General features: G+C 37.5%; 1 protein-coding gene across 17 annotated transcripts in view; it reads right to left on the reverse strand.

The window, feature by feature from the left end:
- Nucleotides 1-24,143, reverse strand: part of TARBP1 (tRNA guanosine 2 -O-methyltransferase TARBP1) — an 87,867-nt gene that overhangs the window by 46,166 nt on the left and 17,558 nt on the right. For 11 of the 17 annotated variants that reach the window (XR_007063103.1, XR_949157.3, XM_011544263.3 and 8 more), the window contains 6 exons: nucleotides 22,783-22,918; nucleotides 21,752-21,848; nucleotides 20,189-20,278; nucleotides 12,950-13,088; nucleotides 11,002-11,101; nucleotides 9,325-9,497 (listed from right to left, as the gene is read on the reverse strand). Coding sequence is in view for 15 of the 17 variants with exons in the window: in XM_011544263.3 (XP_011542565.1) it covers nucleotides 9,325-9,497; nucleotides 11,002-11,101; nucleotides 12,950-13,088; nucleotides 20,189-20,278; nucleotides 21,752-21,848; nucleotides 22,783-22,918 (735 nt within the window). In the remaining 2 variants the exon portion in view is untranslated. Of the gene's footprint in view, nucleotides 1-9,324; nucleotides 9,498-11,001; nucleotides 11,102-12,949; nucleotides 13,089-20,188; nucleotides 20,279-21,751; nucleotides 21,849-22,782; nucleotides 22,919-24,143 lie in introns of those variants that run through there. The other 6 variants (XM_047429060.1, XM_005273234.4, XM_047429068.1 and 3 more) reach the window with 3 other exon arrangements.

Consider the following 24,143-nt stretch of genomic DNA (forward strand, 5'->3'; position numbering starts at 1 on the left):
TGCCAAAAATAAATTGCAATAATATAATAATCATTCACCCCATGGGGAAAGCTATACTTAATCTTAAGTCACTTAGGAGTTCCAGTTGTGGGTAGGATGGATCAGGGACACTCTTCCCTCCACCACTGAACAGAGCTATAAAACCTAGACAGAATGCATGACGCAGCTATTTGAAAACTCTACAAGGAAAAAATAGCAGGTGGATTCAGAGAGAAGTAACACTGAACAGTGGTGAGTTTACTAATGTTTCTCCCTCTGGTCCTCCTCCCAATTGTAACCAGATGCAGAAGCAGTCAACAAGGTGGGCAGCAGAATGGGCGCCAGCTTTCTGGTCAGGCAACGAAACAGGAGAACTCCAGGAGAGCAGACAGTGAGTACTGGATTGCAGACAGGGAGGGATGCAGGAAAGTGGCCTCGGAAAGCTGTTTATGAACTCCTGGGCTCACCTCCAAGCTGCACATGCACGGATCTGATGCTAATCAGCACACCACAGACTTTCAGGACTGAATGAACAGAGTTGCCCACTGGCCAGTTCCCAGAGTGGCCAACAGATGGAATGCATGTGGCATGGGTCCAAAGAGCATGGCAAAGGAGGTGAAGACAAAACTGACAGCAGAAGCAGCACCCACAGAAGCTAAGTCAGAATGTGAGGCCTCAACCTAACCAGGTTGACTGTGTACTGGACAACAGTATCAACATTCTCCACAGGATTTAAATAAGATTCAGAGTTTCATATTATAATATTCAAAACAGCTAGGATATAATCCAAAATTACTAAACATATGAAGAACCAGGAAAACCCCAGCTGATATGGAAAAAAAAATCTAGAGATAACACCAATAAGATGACTTGGGTGTTAGAACCGTTTGACAAAAATCATTAAAGCAGCTCTAATAAAAATGCTTTAGCAAGCAATCAATGACAATCTTGAAGGAAATGGAAACTAGAAATCCTCAGCAAAGAAACAGAAGATATATAGAAAAACCAAATAGAAATTTTATAATTGAAAAGTACAATAACTGAAATAAATTCACTGAATGGGATGAATAACAAAGGAGGTGCGAGAGGAGTCAGAACTTGAAAACAGATCAACAAAAATATGACATCTGAACAACGGAGAGAAAACTGGTTGAAAAAATAAGAAGCAGAACTAGACATCTGTGGGATAATAACAACGATCTTATTTTTTCAAGCCATCACAGCCCCAGAAGGAAAAGAGAAAGACAGTGGGGCTGAAGAAGTATCTGAATAAAGACACGGCTGAAAACTTTCCAAATCTGATAAAGGGTATAAACCTACAGATTCAAGAAGTTTCAGGGAAATCTAAAAGGATACATCCAAAGAAATTTATGCCCAGACAAAGGGCAACCAAACTGCTAAAAACAAGCTTGATGAAAAAACAATCTTGAAAACAGAGAAAAATGACATTGCCAAAGAAAAACCTGACTACTATGGAGTTCTCACGAGAAACCAGAGGCAAATGGAACAGCATTTTTAAACTGATGAAAGATAAGATCTATCAAGCCAGGATTTTATATCCAGAAAAAATATCCTTCAGAAATGAAGGTGAAATAAAGATATTCTCAGATGAGGGAAACTAAGAGAACTCACTGCAACAAATGTGTTCCAAAAGAAATGCTAAAAGAAGTTTTTTTGAACAAAAAGGACATGATGCCATAGGGAAATTTGGAATATCAGGAACAAAGGAAGAGCAAAAGAGACCTGTAAACATCTAAGTAAATATAACAGGCCCTTTTCTCTTGAGTTCTTTAAAATTTGTTTGTTGGTTAAAAGCAAAAATTATAACATTGTCTTGTAGGCTTTTCAACAAATGTAAATATAAGACAACTACCATAGACAGGGGAAAGGGGGAAGGGCCCTATCAGAAGGGAAGTTTCTATATTCACTTCAAGTGGTAAATATTAATTCCAAAGAGACTGTACAAAGTATATGTACTGCAATCCTAAGGCAACCACACACACACAAAAAAAGGCTGAATTTAAATGGAATACTAAATAATGTTCAAACTGCCCAAAAGAGAGTAAAGAGAGAAATGAAAAACAAAGGCCCAGTGTGGTGGCTCATGCCTGTAATCTTAGCACTTTGGGAGGCCAAGGTGGTTGAATCACCTGAGGTCAAGAGTTCGAGACTAACATGGCCAACATGGTGAAACCTCATTTCTACTAAAAATACAAAAATTAGCCAGGCATGATGGTGGGCACCTGTAATCCCAGCTACTCGGTAAACTGAGGCAGGAGAATCGCTTGAACCCGGGAGGCAGAGGTTGCAGTGAGCCAAGATCACACCATTGCACTCCAGCCTGGGCAACAGAGATTTCAAAGTTCCTCTCTCAGTAATAGATACAAGGAATAAATAGAAAATCAGCAAGGATATGGAACTAAAAAACACCATGAAAACTCTTGGATATAACTGACATTTATTGAACACGTCAGCCACTAGTAAAATAATATTCTTTTCCAGAGTACATGAAACATTCACCAAGATAGGCCATATCCCACATAAACTTAAAACAATTTTAAAAACTGAAATCATATGATATATGCTCTGCGACCACAATGTAATTAAATTAGAAAGCAGTAACTAGGAAAGTCTCCAAAGATGTTCTAAATAATTCATGGGTCAAAGAGAAAGCTTCAAGGAAAGTTAGAAAATATTTTGAGATGAAAATGCAACATGCCAAAATTTGTGGGATATAGTTAAAGCAACACTTGGAGGAAAATTAATAGCACTGTCATTTCAGAAAACAAGAAACGTCTAAAATCAACAATCTATGTTTCTGCCTTAACACTAAAAGGAAAAAAAGGCAAAATAAACCAAACCCAAGCAGAAAGAACCAAACAACAGAAATCAATGAAATTGACCAAAAAAAAAAATCTATAAAAAAAAAATCAATGAAACCAAAAGCTGGTTCTTTGAAAAGGTCAATAAAATGATAAACCACTAGCAAGCCAGAGACAGAGACAGAGAGAGAGTGCACATGAGTAAGCACGCACACACACACACACAAATTATCACTATTAGGAATAAAAAGACAGAGCTTACACTACAGACCCGACAGGCATTAAAAGGGTAAGGGAATACTACAGACAATTCTACTGCCCCTATTCACAGATGACATGATTATCTACAAAGAAAATCCCAAGGAACCTTCAAACAAACCAACTCCTAGAATTACGTCCTTCAGCAAGGTTACAGGATACAAGGTCAGCATACCAAAATCAATCATATTTCTATATACTAGTAACACACAGTTAAAAATTGAAATTTTAAAACTATCATTTACAACAGCTTCCCCTCAAAAGAAATAGTTATAAATCTTACAAAACCTGTGTAAGATCTATACGCTGAAAACTGTAAAACTGATGAAAAAAATCACAGACAACCTAAGTAAATGCAGAGACAGGCCAGGCGTGGTGGCTCATACCTGTAATCCCAGCACTCTGGGAGGCTTAGGTGGGCAGATCGCCTGAGGTCAGGAGTTTGAGACCAGCCTGGACAACACGGCAAAACCCCATCTCTACTAAAAATACAAAGATTAACCAGGCATGGTGGTGAGCACCTGCAGTCCCAGCTACTTGGGGGGCTGAGGCAGCAGGATTGCTTGAACATGGGAGGTAGAGGCTGCAGTGAGCTGAGATTGCACCACTGTACTCCAGCCTGGGTGACAAAGTAAGATCCTGTCTCTAAATAAATAAATGTAAGGAAATACCATATTCATGCATTAAAAGTTTCAGCATAAGAAAGCAATTCTCCACAAACTGATCTATGCATTTAATGCAATTCCAGTCAAGATCCCAGCAGGACTTTTTTTTTGTAGGTACATATAAGTTGATGATATAATTTATATGGAAAGGTAAAGGAACTAGAATAGCTAAAAATATTTTTGGACAAAAACCACACTACCTATTTTAAGACTTATTATAAAACTACAGTAACCAAAACCTTGTGGTATTGGCAAAGGAATAAACACTTAGATCAAAAGAACAGAATAGAGTCCAGAATTACATCAACACAAATACAGCCAAATTAATTATTTGTCAACAATTTTTTGGGATAGAATTCACAGAGCATTCAATTCCCCCATTAAAGGTATCTAATTCAATAGTTTCTCGTACAGTCACAGATATGTGCAACTATCACCACAATCAATATTAGAACATTTCATCACCTCAAAGAGAAACCTCATACCCTTTAAATCATCGGGCCCTTAACCCCTATTTTCTCCCTGCCCTAAGCAACCCCAATCTATTTTCTGTCTCTAGAGATTTGCCTATTCCGGACATTTCATTTAAATGAGATCATATAATATGTGGTCTTTAGTGATCACCTTTCCCTTAAGATAATGTTTTCAAGGTTTATCCACGTTGTAACATGTATTACTACTTCATTCCTTTTTATGGCTGAGTATGTATAAACCACATATTATCCATTCATCTACCCATCTACTTTGGATTGTTTCCATCACAGCCAATTAATTTTTGACAAAAGTACAAAACAATTCAACAGAGAAAGGATACTCAGTCTCTCCAACAAATGGTGCTGGTGCAACTACACCAGCAAAGGCAAAAAAAACTAACCTTGACCTAAACCTTACACCTTAGAAATTAACCCTAAAAATATCATAAGTCTAAAAGTAAAATAATAAACGAAGGAGAAAAATCCTGTACGACCTGGGGCTAAGGCAGAGTTCTCAGTCGTAATACCTACTGCACGATCCATAAAACAAAACAAAAATAAACTGGATTTCATCAGAATAAAAACTTTGGCTCTGCAAAAGACACTGTTGAGAAAATGAAAAGATAAGCTGCAGACAAAAAGAAAATATGTGCAAACCACATATCTGACAAAGGACTAACTTGGCAGAAGATTTAATAGACACTTCATAAAATGCTGTATCTATCACTCTGAGAAGTGTTCATTAAGAGATTACATACATTAAAAATTAATTTTAAATTTTCATGTTACCCAGGGGCTATATTATATAGCCTCTGGAGTATCTCATGAGTCACTTGCCAGGTCAAGAAGCCACCAGCAAATGATTGGAAAGTAAAAGCCTTTATTAAAAAATTAAAAACTATAACCAATGAATATGGGAAAAACAGAATACTCTTGTCTTGCATATTCCATACTACTCTTTCTGCCTTTTCTTTCTCCTATATATATAGTCAACTCCTTAAATATCAAACTTACATTAATAGCATAAAATAGATTTACTTTCCTCATATATAATCAAACCCATTCAATTAAAATAAATTTGAGATTTCAAGGGAAAGCTTAGGCCTTGGAGAAGAGAGAACAAAAAGACTTGAAGAAAAGTAGCTGCCTTCAAGGTATCCAATATTATCATCCCTACCCCAGTGGCTCCTCTTAATTACCGCAATACAGAACAGCCTCTATCTCACCCTCAAGGCACATTCCCTGGTCACTGCCACATCTCTGAATTTAACACCCTGTCACAATATACAAACTGTGGGCAAAAGTTCAAGCCAGAATAAAAATTATGGTTTGGGGCTGGGCACAATGGCTCATGCCTGTAATCCTAGCACTTTGGGAGGTCGAGGCAGGCGGATCAGCTAAGGTTGGGAGTTTGAGACCAGCCTGACCAACATGCAGAAACCCTGTTTCTAATAAAAATACAAAATTAGCCAGGCATGGTGGTGCATGCCTGTAATCTCAGCTACTCGGGAGGCTGAGGCAGGACAATCACTTGAACCCGGGAGGCAAAGGTTGCGGTGAGCCAAGATCGCACCATTGCACTCCAGCCTGGGAAACAAGAGCGAAACTCCGTCTCAAAAAAAAAAAAAAAAAATTATGGTTTGGTTTCCTAGTCTATGCCTCATATAATGTATAGTAGTAAACTGAATCCCAACAGAAGTGGTACCAGAATTAGTCAAAAAGCAATCACAGTCAAAATCATGATGAAGTAGCACTTTATACCCATTAGGATGGCTATTATTTTTAAAAGCCCATTAACGAGTGTTGGAGAGGATGTGGAAAAACTGGAACCCTTGTGCACTACTGGTGAAAATGTAAAAAGGTACAGCCACTGTGGAAAAGTGTATGGCAGTTCCTCAAAAAATTAAACAGAATTACCATATGATGCAGAAATTCCACTTCCAAGAGAATTGAAAGCAGGGACTCAGACATTTGTACACCCATGTTCACAGCAGCATTATTCACAAAAGAGAAGGTGAAAAAAATCCAATTGTTCATCAACAGATGAATGGATAACCAATTATAATCTAGCCAAACAACAGAATATTATTTGGCCTTTAAAAGGAATCAAAGCATGATACATGCTACAACATGGATGGACCCAGAAGACATGGTGTTCAGTGAAATAAAAATAAGTCAGACACAAAAGGACAAATGCTGTATGATTCCACTTCTAGGAGGTACCCAGAGGAGTCAAACTCATAGAGACAGAAAGTAGAATGGTGATTGCCAGGGCCTGGGGAAAGAGGAAAATGGGGAATTAGTGTTTCACAGGTACAGAGTTCCAGTTCAGGAAGAGGAAAATTGGAGATGGATGATGGTGATGGCTGCACAACAGTGTGAACGTACTTTCTATGTCACAGAACTGTACACTTAAATATAGTGAAAATGTAAATTTTACTTTATGTATAAAACTATCTATGCATAAAACTAACTATGTATAAAAACCTACGTCAGGAAGAAAAGTTCCAATAGACAAGAGATTACTCCCACAAAAAAAGCGAGACTCAGCAAAGACCAGACCCACCAAAGTGACAAATTCAGCCAGTAGTGAGGACAGAAGCAGTATACTGAAGGCTCATATAACCCAGTGTAATGAAAGGGAAGCTATATTGTAACTAAAAGTATGTTTCCTCAAATTTAAAAGTAAACATTATACAGTTATTGCAGATTAAACATATAATCATGGAAACATCATTTTAGAAAAACTGTATCTGCAGAATGACAATCCCTGAATCTCATCTGATTAGGCACAGTAAAGTGGTATTGCACATCACAGGCTGGAGGAAAACACAGCCGTCTGGACTACCATCACTGTGAATTCACGATCGCAACCTCAAGGGCGTGCTCAGCAAGCCCAGCAATCCTACAGCACTGCCTCAGAGCACTCACAAAGCCTCTTTCCCAGACAGATGCTTATACCCTGTCCTCACACTGCCAACACTTCCATCCCCACCCTCACTCTATCTCCTCTTTCCTTAAAAAAAAAACAGAATAAATTAGAAAAGAACTTCTACGACCTCCTATATCCACCCACCTACCTGCACCTACCTCTCTCTATCAGTGCTCCTTCTAGAACCTTCTAGAACCACTTGTGCCCTGGATTCCATACACTCTCACCTATGCTTGGATGCCAGTCAGCAAACACCACCCCTTTATGTCTTCAAACCTTCCCTCAATGAAATCATTTCCATCAGCACATAAACATGGTTATATTCACCTCTTAAGGAAACAAAAACAACTTCTCGTTCCTCACCACCAACGGCCCCATTTCTCTGCTGCTCTACATAAAAAACTTGCTATTTTACTCACTATTTTCATTTCTCTCCGAGTGGCCCCCACTACTGCCCCAAATTGCTTCCGTTGAGGTCGCCGCTGATTTCCATGTTGCTAAATTGGATGGTCAATTCCCAGTCCTTCTGTTAGGGCATCAACAGCCTCTGGTGTGGGATCCCACCCTCCTCCCGGAAACACGTTCTTCGCTGGCTTCCTGGTTTTCCTCTTCTCTGGCTATAAATTCCCCTAGGTACCCTCTGCTGTTCCTCTTCACCTCACTAACCTCTGGACATTGAAGTCCCCAAGGTACTTGGACCCCTTCTCTGTCTACACTTGCTCCCCTAACATTCTCATTCAGACTCATGACTTTAAATACCACCTGTATGTTAATGGCTCCCAAATTTCTATCTCTAACTCATACTTGATAAGAGGGCAGATCTTAGGTTAAGTCTTCTTATTACAAATAGTAATAATAATAGGAGAGGGAGGAAACTTTGGGAGGTGAAGGATACGTCTATGGCCTTGATGGTGGTGATGGTTTCAGGGGTGTATACCTATCCCCAAACTCATCAAGTTGCATACATTAAATATGTAAAGCCTTTTAACATGTCAATTATACCTCAATAAAGTAGTTAAAAAAATATCTTCTTGAGGAATATCTATATATGCGCTAAAAATCCTTTTCTAAAATTCATGGACGTAATAAAATTCAAAATAGGAAGACAAAGAGTTAACAGGAGGGCACTAAACAGGTAAATTCGTTCTTAGGTTGCATGTGAGCACACAGGTGTTTAATTACTTTGCATCCTTTTATATATAGGATATATATAACTTTTATATAACTTACATATCACACATTCTTTTGTTTGTATCCAAAATTATGGCAATTTTTCAAGAGCACATGTGACCCAGTTCTACACTGAAAGCACTGAGCATAGGAGTAAATAGTCAGGACAGCGCCAATGAATTCAAATGTATGCCCTTAAGGAGTTGAAAGTCTTATAAAAAGTTACTGTATTTTCATAGCATTTGGTTCTGCTACTATCATTATAAAAAAATATTTTTTATATTTCATAAGCATATATGAAAATATAATCGTATCAATTTTATTCTCAGGTTCAACCTAATACTAATGCTCCTCTAGAATTTTTAAACAGGAAATTTCTAAAACTGCAAATGAGACTGGTCAGGAAGGACTGGGAGGTTCACCTGTCACTACTCTCATCTCTGATGTCTACGGGTTTTCAACTGCTGTTTTACATACCTTAGTTTAAGGAGAGAAGAAAGAGCTCAATGCTTCTACTATTATCACTAACTTTCTCTGTGAAGTATTTTCTACTTAAAAGGTACTCGGAGATGAACATATTTAAAAACAAGTAATTATAAAATTACTGCCATTCTCATGCTTTAGCAGAGTGGCAAACAGAAATGGATCCTGCTTAAACATATACAAGACAGTGATCATTTTAAATGGTCTAGAAATCAATAAGCATGCATAAATATTTTTAAAAAGCAAATGAAATTACATTATAGTAACCAACACACGGAAACCACTAGAATGTCAACTCACGAGAACAGATGGTTGCTCCTTCACCACTGTATCCCCAGCACCACTGGGAGATACTCAATAAATATTTTTCTTAAATTATATAATTTCTTAATATATAATTATATAATTTCTTAAATATATATAATTTCTAAATTATATAAAAAGTTTTCTCTTTGTTTTAAAAAGACGGAAGTTTCCTCTCTAGAACTCTAAATACCAATGCTATATCAAGCAAGATACCAAGAGAAACAACTTATCCTCACCATCTTGGGCACTGGAACCTTTCAACCTGCATGTGTTCAACAGCTTCAACAGCAGCTGGAGGCATCTGTCAGTCTTCAGCAAGGGCATGTAGGCATTGGTACTAAACTTCATAAGCACATCCAGAAGAGGGTCTAAGAATATCCGCAATACATTCTCTGTTCTCTGCTTTCCGCTAGACATTAAAAGACATGCCAAAATCAACCATTTCAAAAGCATAAGCAAATTGCTTCCCACCTATAATTGGGTGAAAACTGGTTAGCTAATGGATCCAATTAGACAAAGTTACTCTCATGAAAGACCCAGACAACCAGCAGCTATGAGGACTCATCTTCTGGTCCGTGCTTTCCCGTGAGGGTGGCGACTCACTAAAGAAGGCACAGGGAAGAACCACTGTCTTCAATGCCAGGCACCAGCAGGAAGGAAATCCTATACCCAATTAATGTGTAAATTAAATTAATGACACCCTGCTTCCATAATACAAAAATATAAAACCAAAACAAACATAAGCTAGTCAAGGAACTAGAACATGTTTTTAAAAATCCAAAAAAAAAAAAAAAAAACCTAAGGATTTATTAAAAACTGTTAACCAACTTTTTTTTTTTTTTTTTTGAGATGGGGTCTCACTCTGTCGCCCAGGCTGGAGTGCTGTGGTGTGATCATAGCTCACTGTGGGCTCAACCTCCCAGGCTCAAGCGATCTTCCCACATCAGCCTCCTAAGTAGCTGGGACCACAGGTGTGAGCCACCATGTGCAGGTAATTTTTTAATTTTTGTAGAGACAGGGTCTCGCTTATTTTCCCAGACTGGATAACCAACTTCGGTACAAAATCTTTGTCTAGAAAAGAGATTTGATGTAAATCAAATTAACTGTATGTCACGCAAATATCCTACCTGATCTACCTAATGATGCTGCTTATTGCAAAACAATAATCAAGTGAAAACTGACCTGCTTCCATTCTCACAAAATATAAATGAGTGTTTTATCTTTATTACCGTTTTTTTAATTATGTATTTTACAAAGGAGTCAAATCCAGTAAATCTCTTTACCTAAACTTATACTGGAATCTTGCAATCTATTTCTAATATTCTGATATAAAACCAGTGACTATTGTATATGGTTTTTTAATCTTCTCTAATTTAACATTAAATGTTTTTCAGATGAAGTCTCACTTTGTGGTCCAGGCTGGAGTGCAATGGTGCAATCGTGGCTCACTGCAACCTCCGCCACCCAGTTCAAGTGATCTTCCCGCCTTAGCCTCTCTAGTAGTTGAGACTACAGACGTGCACCACCACGCCCGGCTGATTTTTGTATTTTTAGTAGAGACAGGGTTTCACCATGTTGGCCAGTCTGGCCTCAAACTCCTGACCTCAGGTGATCTGCCTGCCTTGGCCTCCCAAAGTGCTGGGATTACAGGCATGAGCTACTGTGCCTGGCCATCTAATTAACATTAAATTGTTAAGTTTAACATTTAATTTACCAATTTAAAAGCACTAATATGCCCCTATTCCTATTTGTTATTAACTTTAAACATTTCTTCAGTATACTGTTAATGTTCTAGTACCTTCCTTGACACCTTGTGGTCAACTAAGTTCAATCATTCAAAAATCTGAATACACATCATAATTCTCATCAGGATTTTTCAAATAGGCTTTCTTTTCAATTACAGAAACAATTACCTATACTGAGTCTTCATTCCTTCCACATCCACAGCCAGCAAGACCATCAGAGAAACAAGCTTGGCTTCAAACCAATCAGGCATAAAGCAGTTTTCTCCTGCTTAAATAACAACAGTTAAGGTTTGCAAAGCATTAACAAAATCCTTCAAGGATGATGCTTCAAAAAAACCCACTAAATGATTATGCCTTATTAATATTAAATTATGAGAGAAATACAACCGAGATGAACTACAGCAGAACACCCTAGAGCATGGCTCATTATTATACATATCTATTTCAACAGGAACAAAAAAGAAATTTGTGTGCCTGCTACATGCCATGCAATTACCTGGGTGCTGCAGACCCAGTGTTTCCTGTGCTCATGGAATTTAGAGTACAGGAGAAAAGCATTATCAAAGAATACATAGAAAAATGCAATTATAGTGAGGGCTACGAATGAGAAGTACATGGTGCTAGTGGAGTCTACACTAGGAAGACATGCCCTCATCCAGAGAGTAAGAGGAAGTTTCCCTGAAGAAATGACAATTGGGCTGAGTGTGACGACTCAAGAGGAAAGATGAAGGGACACGAGAACTTTCTAGACAGAAGGAAGAGCACATCAAAGGTCTTCTAGCAGAAGAAGGCATACCATATTCCAGAAAATAGGAGGATGCTCATGTGTGCACTAAGTGACAGGGAGCAGCAAAAACTGAAGTGGCATAAACAGGCAGGGGAGAGACCAGGAAACCTTGCAGGCCATGCAGAGGACCTTTGTCTCTGCCCTAAAGGCAATAGGAAGCCACTGAAGGTTAAAGGGAATATATACAAAGAAGTGGAGGAAAAATGTCTAAAATCAAAATTTATATTTTGAAAAGATTTATCTAGGTACCATGTGGAAAAGATATTGTAGATGAAGCAAGAGTAGATGCAAGGTAACTCCGTAAGAGGCAATTCTAGTATTTCAGCTGAGATGAGTGTTCCCTAAAATGTGACCAGAAATGAGATTAAATGAATGAAGCCACAAAGGCCATGGTCTCTCAGACCTCTATCTGACCTCCCAGTTTATGTCTACTTTAATAGAGACTAACATATTTACTTCAAATAATCTTCCAATGTAACAGCATAAGACATTTACTAGACACAGACAGACCAAAAAAGACTAAAAATACAAAAGAGAAATGTTCCAAGAAGAATAAACTCATGCATTTTGGAAGGATAATTATCTGATCATTTAAGACCTATTCCATGGTCAGATTAAAGAAATCAGGAGATGAAAATGACTTTGTGTGAGACAAAGCTAGGAAATTTAAGACATGTTAAATTCGAAGATGCAATTTTCCTAAATTATCACCAATGACTTTAATGAAAAGGAAGCATTAGGAATGTAAAAAGAATCCTAATTAATGAATCTGTTAAGAGTGCTTCTCTAATGTTGTCTTATATATTTCCTCAAAGAAAGGATCTTTGTAAAATTGATGTTGCAAAGTATCTGCTGAAAAAGAAACTAACAAAACTATCCTTTTAAACACAGCCTTTGTTTAAAATTGTTTTTCATAATCAGTTCATACTAAACGTGCTTTAAAAATGAAAAAGATAAACACGTATTTCCAATGCATATATTTCCACTACAGAGGCTCCAAAACCATATCTGCAGTATCTAGTTCACAAGGACCCAGTAATTGCAGAATAAATAAATGACTTTGCATCCACTTCTTAACTCTGGCAACTTATTAGTTTCCTTAAACATAAAATAATTTAGAATCTCAAGTCTCAGAACAGATAAAGTATTAATACAAGTTAGGAGACAGTATCTTTACTTTTTTTTCACATTATTTTACTGAAATACAAGTTTGGCATCAATAAATCATCATATATTTCGTAAAGCCTAACTCTCAGTCTGAAAAACTAGTTAAAAGTTCTTTGAAAATATTTTGGTTATATCAATCCATAAAAATGATTGCAGACTTACTTTCCCAAGCAGATGACTTAACATACTCTTGAACAATGCTCTTTACATAAGCATTTAAAGATGTCTTGTGAAGTCCAATGGAGCTACACGTAGGGGATGGCTTAAAATAGCTTTCATTAACACGTAGCCAGTCACACAGCTGGAAAAGAAAACAGTTATTACTTTATTTTAAAAACCTAACCAAACAAAGGATTTCTAATCTCCTTAAGCCACGTTTCTTTCTTTCACGATAAACCAAATTTAAATAATCGAATACAAAGTAATAAACCATTTACTATCATACTTGAGTTCCACAGACAGTAAAAACAAAAAAACTATGTGTATATATATTTATGTATGCGTATATGTATGTGTGATATATATATGTGAGATATATATATATATACACATATGTGTGTGTGTGTGTTTTCTAATCTCCTTCAAAGAATGTATAAACTTCATTAACAGGCAAGAATTTCTAATGTACCTTATATAAAATGTACACTTTAATGAGGTAAAGATCTCTATAAAAAATAACGCATTACATAAAACAACTTACAACCTTCAACTAAAACTTCTTCCAGCTTCACATGCTAAAACAAGAAGTTTTATCTTTGAGAGAATGTAGAATTTGAAATTTAAGTTATAATCAAAGTTCCTACCCTCCTCACAAGTTTATTTTCTATCATACGTGCATATTAAAATACTGCATATTAATTTAAAAGAGAAACACTGTCCGAGGCCTTCTCCATTACATCTCTTAGAAGGTTTGCAAATAAAAGTCACATAATTTCACAACTCATCTTTGGTCACGTATAATGGTGAAACTTTTGTTTTAAAATCTAAATATGTTCTCAATTTCCTTTTTATAATATCTGTCTTAATAAGCAAATTCAATAACTGAGTTTAAATATGAAGAAAATAATTATGAAATGAGTCTTTCTAAAAAGTAAGCATTTTTGAAAAATTATTTTTTGTGTCCATTAGGGTTACCCAAAGTTTACTATAAGGAGGCAAAGGAAGAATACATCACCTGACCAAAGATAAAACTGATGAATGGGCCGGGCGCGGTGGCTCACGCCTGTAATCCCAGCACTTTGGGAGGCCGAGGCGGGCGGATCACGAGGTCAGGAGATCGAGACCATCCCGGCTAAAAACGGTGAAACCCCGTCTCTACTAAAAATACAAAAAAATTAGCCGGGCGTAGTGGCGGGCGCCTGTAGTCCCAGCTACTTGGGAGGCTGAGGCAGGAGAATGGCGTGAACCCGGGAGGCGGAGCTTGCAGTGAGCCGAGATCCCGCCACTGCACTCCAGCCTGGGCGACAGAGCGAGACTCCGTCTCAAAAAAAAAAAAAAAAAATGATGAATGACTGGATCATCGAAGTGGTCAGGACTAAAAGACACCACACAGGTACAATGAGTGAGCAAGTCAATGACGCTAAAGGAGGTTGTTCTGTGTAGGTCTTTATCAAGTCGGATAATCTTAAGATATTATTGTCTAACAGTGAGGTCAGCCGGTATTTATCTTTTAACAGTATACACTTTTCTTTGCATTCCTCTAAAACTGGCCAGACTGCGTTGCCTAATTATTGCTACAAAATACGTGAGGCTTTTCGAATCTTGTATTTCCACAGGCATGATTCTGCTGTATCAAAATTATTTTTGACAACTAAACTCTAATTCATATTTGATTTTTTTCTTTCCCTCTATCAAATCTGTCACAAAATTCAGAATATTTTCCCTTCAAAGACTTTTCATGTCAGACTTATGGTTTAAAATGACATCTAAATGGCAGTCTCTGGGTAGGCAGGTTCCCTTGATTCCCCATTACAATACAAGTCTCAAAAATCTATTTGGACACATAAAGAGAATGAGAGGACAAGCCACAGACTGGGAGAAAATATTTGCAAAACACATATCTGATAAAGGACTGGTATCCAAAGTATTCAAAGGACTTTTAAAACCTCACCGTAAGAAAACACATAACCTAATTCAAAAATGTGCAAAAGAACTGGATACCTCACCAAAGAAGACATACAGATGGTAAATAGCATATACAAAATGCTCAGTATCATCTATTTTCAGGGAATTTGGAATTACAACAATAAGACACCACTATATAGCTACTGGAGTGGCTAAAATCCAGAACGCTGACAAACCAAATGCTGAAGAGAATGTGGGGCAGTAAGAACTCTCATTCTTTGCTGGTAGGAATGCAAAATAGTATGGTTCGAAAGACAGCTTGGCAATTTCTCTAAAACTAAACATAATCTTACCACTCAATCTGGCAACTGTGCTCCTTGGTATTTACCCAAATGAGTTGAAAAGTTATGTCCACACAAAAACCTGCATAAAGATGTTTACAGTAGTCTTACAACTGCCAAAACCTGGAAGCAACCAAGATGTCCTTCAGTAGGTGAATGGATAAATAAACTGTGGTACATCCAGACAATGAAGTCTTAGTAAGCACTAAAAAAAAAAAAATGAGCTATCAAGCCATGAAAACACAGGAAGGAACCTTAAGTGCATATTACTAAGTGGAAGAGCCAATCTGAAAAGGCTGGGTCCTGTATGATTCCAACTATGTGGCATTATGGAAAAGACAAAACTATAGAGAGTAAAAAGATCAGCTGCCAAGGTCTGGGGGAAAGGAGGGATGAACAGGCAGAGCACAGAGAATTTTTGGGGGCAGTGAGACTATTCTGTACGACACGTCTGTCAAAGCCCATGGAATGTACAATGTGAAGAGTGAACCCTAATGTCAACTATGACCTTTAGTTCATAATAGTAATCAATATGGGGGTCATCAATTGTAACAAATGAACCACACTAATACAAAATGTTAACAACAGGGGAAACTGTGTGTAGGGACAGGAAGAGTGGTGTGGGAGTATGTGGAAACTCTCTGTACTTTTTTTGTGTGTTTTTTTTTTTTTTTACATTATTACTTTATTTTTAAAATATACTGAGACAGGGTCTCGCTATGTTACCGAGGCTGGTCTTGAACTCCTGAGCTCAAGTGATCTGCCCGCCTCTGCCTCCCAAAGTACTGGGATTACAGGCATGAGCCACCATGCCTGGCTGGAACTCTCTGCACTTTGTTTAATTTTTCTGGAAACCAAATACTGTTTCAAAAAATAAAATCTATTAATTAAAAAACTATTTAGGGTGAGCTACATGAAAATGCCATTTCTATAGGTTTAAAATTACTGAATATCAATGATTTTACATGACTTAACATAACTAGATAATTAGATAATAATGAGAACACTACATAACAAAAGTTATAGGATACAGTCAAATTTACACTAAAATATATATATACATACATGTAAGTGCTTTCAAACAAAAAAAGAATTGAAATCTGGATTCAGCTATAAACCACCAACTTTATAAGCCTCCTGAGGGTAGTCAACATGTTTCTCTCACTGACCACTGTATTACCAACACTCAGCACAGTGCCTGGCCTGTGGGAGATGTGCAATACATAGTTCTCAACAAATGACTCCAGGACATTAGGAGACAGGCAAAACAAACGAAAGGAGAGTCAGAGATGAAAACAGACACTGATGCATTACAGAACCGAAAAATTAAGGGGAACAGATGAAGAAATCTAAGAGCTGGCTCCTTAAAAACAAATAATACAACAGGCAAATGTCTCACTCCTTAAACCAGGGCGAAAAGACATTAGTAATATTAGATATTTACATTAAATATGGGCTAACCGTAGCCTAAAGCTTTTTTACATGAATTTTCTCTTTTAAACCTCACAACTCATACAACAAAATAAATTCCAGCTGGAATAGAGTCCACAATTTTAAAGCTATGCCTACTAGCTGCAGTGAATAGGCCTTATTTGAATACCTGAACAAACAAAATTGGACATCTGACCAAACAGAAAGAAAATAAATTTTAAAAACATTTCTTAGTTTTTTTAGGTGTGATAAAGGCTTATTTTTTAAGCCCTTTAAACTCCTTATCTTTTAGCAGTACATATTCAAAAATTTTTAGATGAAAAATAAGATTTGATAGGATTTGATTCAAAATAATTGGGACAGGAAGGGAGAGTAGGAGGTCCAGGTCAAAGAAGACCGGCCATGAGCAGCAATGGTAGATGATGGGTGATGGGTACATGAGAGTTCATTATACTCTTCTAAGAATTTTTAAAATTTTCATAAGTAAAAAGCTACCAGGAAAAAACTAAACAAAATCAAAAATCAAAATGAAACTGAAAAGATGCCTGAACTTACAAATTATAAGAGAATGATTAATTAAAATTATACTGAAATGCCCTTTCCCATCCTTCAGACTGGTAAAAAATCCTGCTTCACAACAGGCACTATCATACCCTGTGAAACTCCTGCAACCCTATGGTAGGCCCAAAGATACCGAGGTCCTAATCCCGGAACCTGTGAATGTTACCTTATGCAGCAAAAGGAGCTTTGCAGATTTAAGTATTCTCAGATGGGGACATTATGCTGGATTATTTGAGGGGGCCCAATGTAATCCTAAGTGTCCTCATAAAAGGAAGGCAGAGGCAGATTTGGCCACAGAAACAGAAGAGAAGAATGTGATATGAAGACGAAGCAGAGATCTCGAAATGCCAGGCTGCTGGTTTTGAAGATGGAGAAAGGACCATGAGCCGAGAAATGCAAGCAATACAGCTCCAGAAGATGAGGAAGTGGACTCGCCCCTACAAGGAAGCACAAGCCAGCCAGAATCTTAATTGCAGACGAGTGAAACGGATTCCAGACTTCTGGCCTCCAGAACTGTAAGGGAATAAATGTATGTTATTTTAAGCCACCAATCTGGTGGTAATTTATTACAGCAACCATAGGAAACTATGGAGGGAAACTGGGCAATCCCCAGAAAGATTACACAGGCACCCAACCTCTGACCAGCAATCCCAATTCTAGGACTCCATTCTGCAGATGTACCTGCAGACTATTCATTTATTGTGGCATTGTCTGTAAAAGCCACAAGACTGGACAACTCAACAGTTCGGCAATGGGGGAAATTGAATAAACAATGGTACAACCACCAGATGGAATACTATGCAAGCTTTACTTTACAAAATACTATGCAAGCTTTACTTTACAAAAAAAGACTAAGAAGGGTCTTTGCCTACTGAGATAAAGAAATCACTATGAATATACATTTTAATGAAAACTTGCAAGGTAGTAAGCAGAGTCTATATCAAAAACACCTTTGTTTGGGGATGGGGTGGAGTACGATAAGGATCAAGGCAAGATAGAAGAGCAAAACAGAAATAAGACACTTCTGACCAATAGTTTTAATCTTCAAATCACGTAAATTCATTACCCATTCAGCAAGCAAAGCTAAATTTTTTAAAAAGGAACTAAAAAAAAATTATTTGCAGTAGGTATAACAACTTGTCAATACCCTCAATATAAAAAGAGCACTTACAAATCAAGTAAAAAAGAAAAAAAAACCACTAAAATCCCAAAACAAAATGGGGAAAGGACAATAATAGACAATTCACAAAAGAAATACTACAAAGACATGAAAAAATGTTTTAAAAAACAGTGATCAGAGTAATGCAAATAAAGTCACCAAATGCTATGTTTTATCTACCAAAGTGGCAAAGAATTTAACATGCTGATACATTTGGTATTGTATCACTGTAGATAAAGTGGATGTCCACTGTCATACTTTGAAACCTCTCTCAATCTGTATCAGGAACCTTAAAATTATTGAAATACAGCAAATTCAATTTTATGAATTTATCCTAAAAAACAGGTATAAATAAAAACATATAGAAATAAGTTCCTCCCAATGTTATTTACTTTTTGAGACAGGGTCTCACTCTGTCGTGCACGCTGGAGTGCAGTGGCACGATCTCAGCTCACTGCAACCTCCGCCTCCCGGATTCAAGCAATTCTCCTGTCTCAGCCTCCCAAGTAGCTGAGACTACAGGCACACACCACCATGCCCCGATAATTTTTGTACTTTTAGTAGAGACGGGGTTTCGCCATGCTGGCCAGGCTGGTCTCGAACTCCTGGCCTCAAGTGATCTGCCCGCCTCAGCCTCCCAAAGTGCCACTGTGCCCAGCCCAGTGTTATTTATAAAAGCAAAAACTTTGAAACAAAGTCCAAGAAAAGGAACTAATACAATAAATTTTAAATGATACAATCAACTGCATTTTTACTACATCTTGAAAAATTACTTAGCAACATGCTAAAATGCTCATATATATGTGAATACAAAAAAATAAAATTTAAAACAGTTTAATCTATATTTAGAGAGATCATATGTATTATTTTAAATACACATATACTTATCTATAATGAGAAGGCAAGTAAGAGAATACGTATATTCATAGGGAAAAAGAACTAAAAACTAAACCAAAAAATATGAATTTAGTTTGACGGTAGGCATTACAGATTATTTTTATTTTCTTTATATGGTTCTATATTTTTCAAATTCCACAAAATTAGATGCATTGTGATCAAGAAAATAAAACAAAATTCTATTTTTTAAAGGCCACAATTTGCCCCTTCTTCATTTCTCAAAAACTATATAACCCAGAGGGGACAAAGATCAGAACTCAGCCACATAAATAACAAATAAGCACTGAAGTCAGTTGTATAAACTAAACCCCGTGGTTTACAAAAAGAGGGAGGAGGCTGGCCCTGAAGAGTCCTGAGGAAAAGGGTGGCACAGTAAGAGGTCTGGAGGCCAGGGACGTGACATCAACAAGACATCATCACAAGGGAAGAAGCTTCACATGAGGAGGGTCTGAGCTAGAGCCACAGAGCGGCATGGAGAAGAGGAAAGATGTTTATGAGACAGGAGGGTTTCATGATGAATTGGATGCAGAAAGTCAGGACAAACTCAGAATTACCAAAACATAAGGACTGGACAACTGGGTGGAGGAAGGGGCCATTCAATGACAGAAAAAAGAGAAAGAGGAGTTTGTGTCACTTACTGTGTTTGAGTCTAACATCGCCATTATTCCTAATGCATCTCATCCAGAGTTGAGATCTGCCCACTAGCAATATCTTTTCTTCTAAATAGGTCTATCTGTACTGCAAACATTTTCCTCTCTCCCACCTCTCCATAAGCATCTTAGCAGAATTAGTTAAGTCCACTCAAAGCAAATATACAATATTTCAAAGTCTCTGCTGACAGATAACAAAGCAATCATTATATTTTATATAAATGGCTACTAAGAAATTCATTAAGAAAACCATTTTTTATAGTTTTCAAAGACTTTATTAAATTATCTTTAATCTCACCTCTGTCCACAATGAAGTTCCTCGTCCTAAGGATTCCTCTTGTCTCAGAGACATGAGAAAAGTTGAGACATCAGAAAGTGACACTTTCTCCTGGGCAGGGCAGGAAAGGTTTTAAAAATTACTCGTATTAAAATGTTTAATTGAATAAACTAAAACCACTGTGAAGGCAATCAATTCTACTACTTAAAGTAGGTTATCATTAGCTAAATCAAAAGAAAGCAAATATCATTAGCTAAATCAAAAGAAAGCAAATAAAAAGAAAATATTATTCAACTTTTAACATAAAGATACCATGTTAACTTAAAATTGAGGTTACTATCTTAAAGACAGTCACAATCTTAAAAAAAAAAAAAACACCATTCTATAAGAAGAAATTACTTTCAATCAAAATGTGAGGACAGGCGCGGTGGCTCACGCCTGTAATCCCAGCACATTGGGAGCCCGAGGTGGGTGGATCACCTGAGGTCAGGAGTTCGAGACCAGCCTGGCTAATATGGCAAAACCCCATCTCTACTAAAAATACAAAAATTAGCCAGTTGTGGTGGCAGATGCCTGTAATCCCAGCTACTTGGGAGGCTGAGGCAGGAGAATCACTTGAACCTGGGAGGTGGAGGTTGCAGTGAGCCAAGATCGTGCCATTGCACTCTAGTCTGGGAGACAAGAGCAAAACTCTGTCTCAAAAAAAAAAAGTGATTATTTTCAATGCCATAAAAATGAGCCCCTGACTCAGAAAACCACCTAGGTCTTTCATTCCCTTAAGGTTGTACATCTTGAAATAAGATACCTTGGCTCTATCTAGGCCAGGCATTGGCAAAAACTATTCACAGCCTGTTTTGTAAATAGTTTTTTTGGAATATAGCCAACGCCTGTTTATTTAGTTCAGAAGTTGCAACACAGATCATAAAGCCAGCGGCAAAGCTTTAAAAAAGTTTGCTACCTGGCACTGCACAGAAAGAGTTTGCTGACCCCTGTAGTAAGCAATATTTACTGAGGCTTTGTAAAAAGCACAGGATACACACCATATATATTCCTTGAATGTCGATACAGGGGAAGATGAGGGGAAATGTAGAGAGGGAACAAGGCATACGCTCCAAGAGTCCTCTCCCAGTGGGCCACCCAGGACACACTTAGCTCCCCCAGCAACAAGCTGTGACAACACAGTGAAAGTCTGTCTACCAGGGAAGCTCAATGGAGACTCAGTGCCTCGGGCTTTTCCTGGGACGTGGTCATGCAGGCACCTTTTGCCTCATACATACTGAAATTCCAGACTCTCAGAAAGAAAGCAGGTTTTCAGCATAAACCACATTGAACAAACACTTTAGATACAATAAGCCACTCTTAGCAGTTAGGATAGTGTAAATCCTCCCAAAATCCAAGGTCCCAGTGCCAGCCAAGGACTATTTAGAGAGATCATATGTATTATTTTATTACAAGCACATTTATTATTTTATTACAAGCAGGCCTTTCTAATGGCAGTATCACAGGTCTGCTATGTTAACTCATTTCTGTACACCCACTCACTAAGAAAGACTTGTAAATGGAAGTAACAAAAGAAAAACTTACCACATCTAGCAAATTCATAGCTGTTTGAAGAAGGTAGCATTGGGCTGCCCCTCTCAGGAGAATCTGATGTGTGATCATAGTGCAATGAATAACATCCCTGACATCGAAACACAAAAAATGCAGTTCCGTATTCCCAAAGACAATTCTGATAATTTGTGATTATCAACAAGTTGATTTATAACAACTACACTTCCTAATGCAGAAAGTCTGCAGAATTTCAAAGCTGTTATTTCCCATTATGGCCTCTATTAAGAGCTCAATTTTACTATGAAACAAGTCTCTTTTAAAAATAAGACTATAGGCCGGGCGCAGTGGCTCACACCTCTAATCCCACAACTTTGAGAGATTGAGGCGGGTAGGTCACCTGAGGTCAGGAGTTTGAGACCAGCCTGGCCAACATGGTGCAATCCCGTCTCTACTAAAAATACAAAAATCAGTCGAGAGTAATGGCGCACACCTTTAATCCCAGCTACTTAGGAGGCTAAGACACGAGAATCGCTTGAATCCAGAAGGCAGAGGTTGCAGTGAGCCGAGATCGCACCACTGCACTCCAGCCTGGGTGACAGAGCGAGACTCCAGCTCAAAAAAAAAAAACTATAAATGAAGATGCTTTTAAAGAAGTTTATATTTACTGAAATACTTTTTCTTTTTTTCATCTCCTCAAAATTCCTTTTTACCAAATATTTTTTAAATACTTTCTGTTAAATATTATTGTTTGATATTTTATCTTTAGCTTTCTACTTACGAATGTAATTTTAAAAAAAACTTACTGGCCTTATTTAAAGAGGTCAAAATTCAACAGCACATACTTCAGTACACATTTAAACTAGTAATTTGTAAAACAAAATAAGTTCAACTATACGAATAATACATTTTTTAATTTTTTTCTTATGTAAAATTAAGAGCCCAAACATCCCAATCCCAATATTAACTATATCCATTTACTGTAGATTAAAGCAGAGGAGAAAATATATATATTGATGGAAAGTCATGGCAAATAACCATACAAGTACATATACAGAGTAAATTACCTGAGAGCAAGAAGCCCATCTATACCCAGGGCCTTATGTCTTGGGACATTTGCCAAAGCCTTAGATAGAAACAAAATGGGAACAGCACACCAATGCCTACTTGTCATCTTCCGAATAAACTTCAATAGGAAGCTACCTGAAAGAAAAAGTTTTAAATTATCATTGTTGCCAATTAGCACATGAAAAGAAGCTCAATACCATTAGGTATTAGGGAAATACAAGTCAAAACCATAGTAAGGCTCCACTTCCCACACACTATGATGGCTATAATCTAAAGGACAGACAATACTCAGAGTTGGGGAGGATGTGGAGAACCCAGAACCCTCACACAATGCTGGTGGGAATGTAAAACGGTGCAGCCGCTGTGGAAAAAAATATGGCAGTTCCTCCAAAACTTAGACGGACCACATGATCCGGTAATTCTACTTCCAGGTATATATCCAAGAGAATCAAAGATGTGTTCATACAGAAACTTGTACATGAACATTCATAACAGCATTACTCAAATAGTCAAAAGTGAAAACAATCCAAATGCCTACCAATGAATGAATGAACAAAATGTGAAATATCTATACAGTGAAATACTATTCAGCCACAAAAAGGAATGAAATGCTGATACGTGCCATAACAAGGATAAACCTTGAAAATACTATGCTAGTGAAAGAAGCCAGACACAAAAAGCCACGTATTGTATGATTCCACTGACATGAAATGTTGAGAATATGCAAATCTATAGAGACAAAGAGGATCAGTGGCTGCCAGGAGCTATGGGTAGAAGAGAATGAGAAGCGACTATTAACACACCTGAGGTTTCTTTTTGAGGGTGATCAAAATATTCAGGAATTAGACAGTGGTAACAGCTGTACAACTTTGTGAATACACTAAACACCACTAAACCAAATGGTTTAAAAGGGTGAATTCTATCTCAATAAAGCTGTTGTAAAAAAAAGTTAATTTAATTCCTAGTTTAGTAAGATAAGTATTCTACTGTACTATAGGGATTCTGATACCCATGAAGCTGTATTTTTTTAAAAGGTAATTTTTTGTTTGTTTGTTTGTTTTGAGACAGAGTCTCACTCTGTTGCCCAGGCTGAAGTGCAGTGGCTTGATCTTGGCTTACTACTACAACCTCCACCTCCTGGGTTCAAGTGATTCTCCTGCCTCAGCCTCCTGAGTAGCTGGGATTACAGGCATGTGCCACCACACCCGGCTAATTTTTGTATTTTTAGTAGAGACGGGGTTTGGCCATGTTGGCTGGCTGGTCTCAAACTCCCAACCTCAGGTGATCTGCCCACCTCAGCCTCCCAAAGTGCTGAGACTACAGGCGTCAGCCACCACACCCGGCCAGTAAAAGATAAAAT

Source organism: Homo sapiens, chromosome 1 (assembly GCF_000001405.40).
Source record: "Homo sapiens chromosome 1, GRCh38.p14 Primary Assembly".
Classification (NCBI taxonomy): domain Eukaryota; kingdom Metazoa; phylum Chordata; class Mammalia; order Primates; family Hominidae; genus Homo; species Homo sapiens.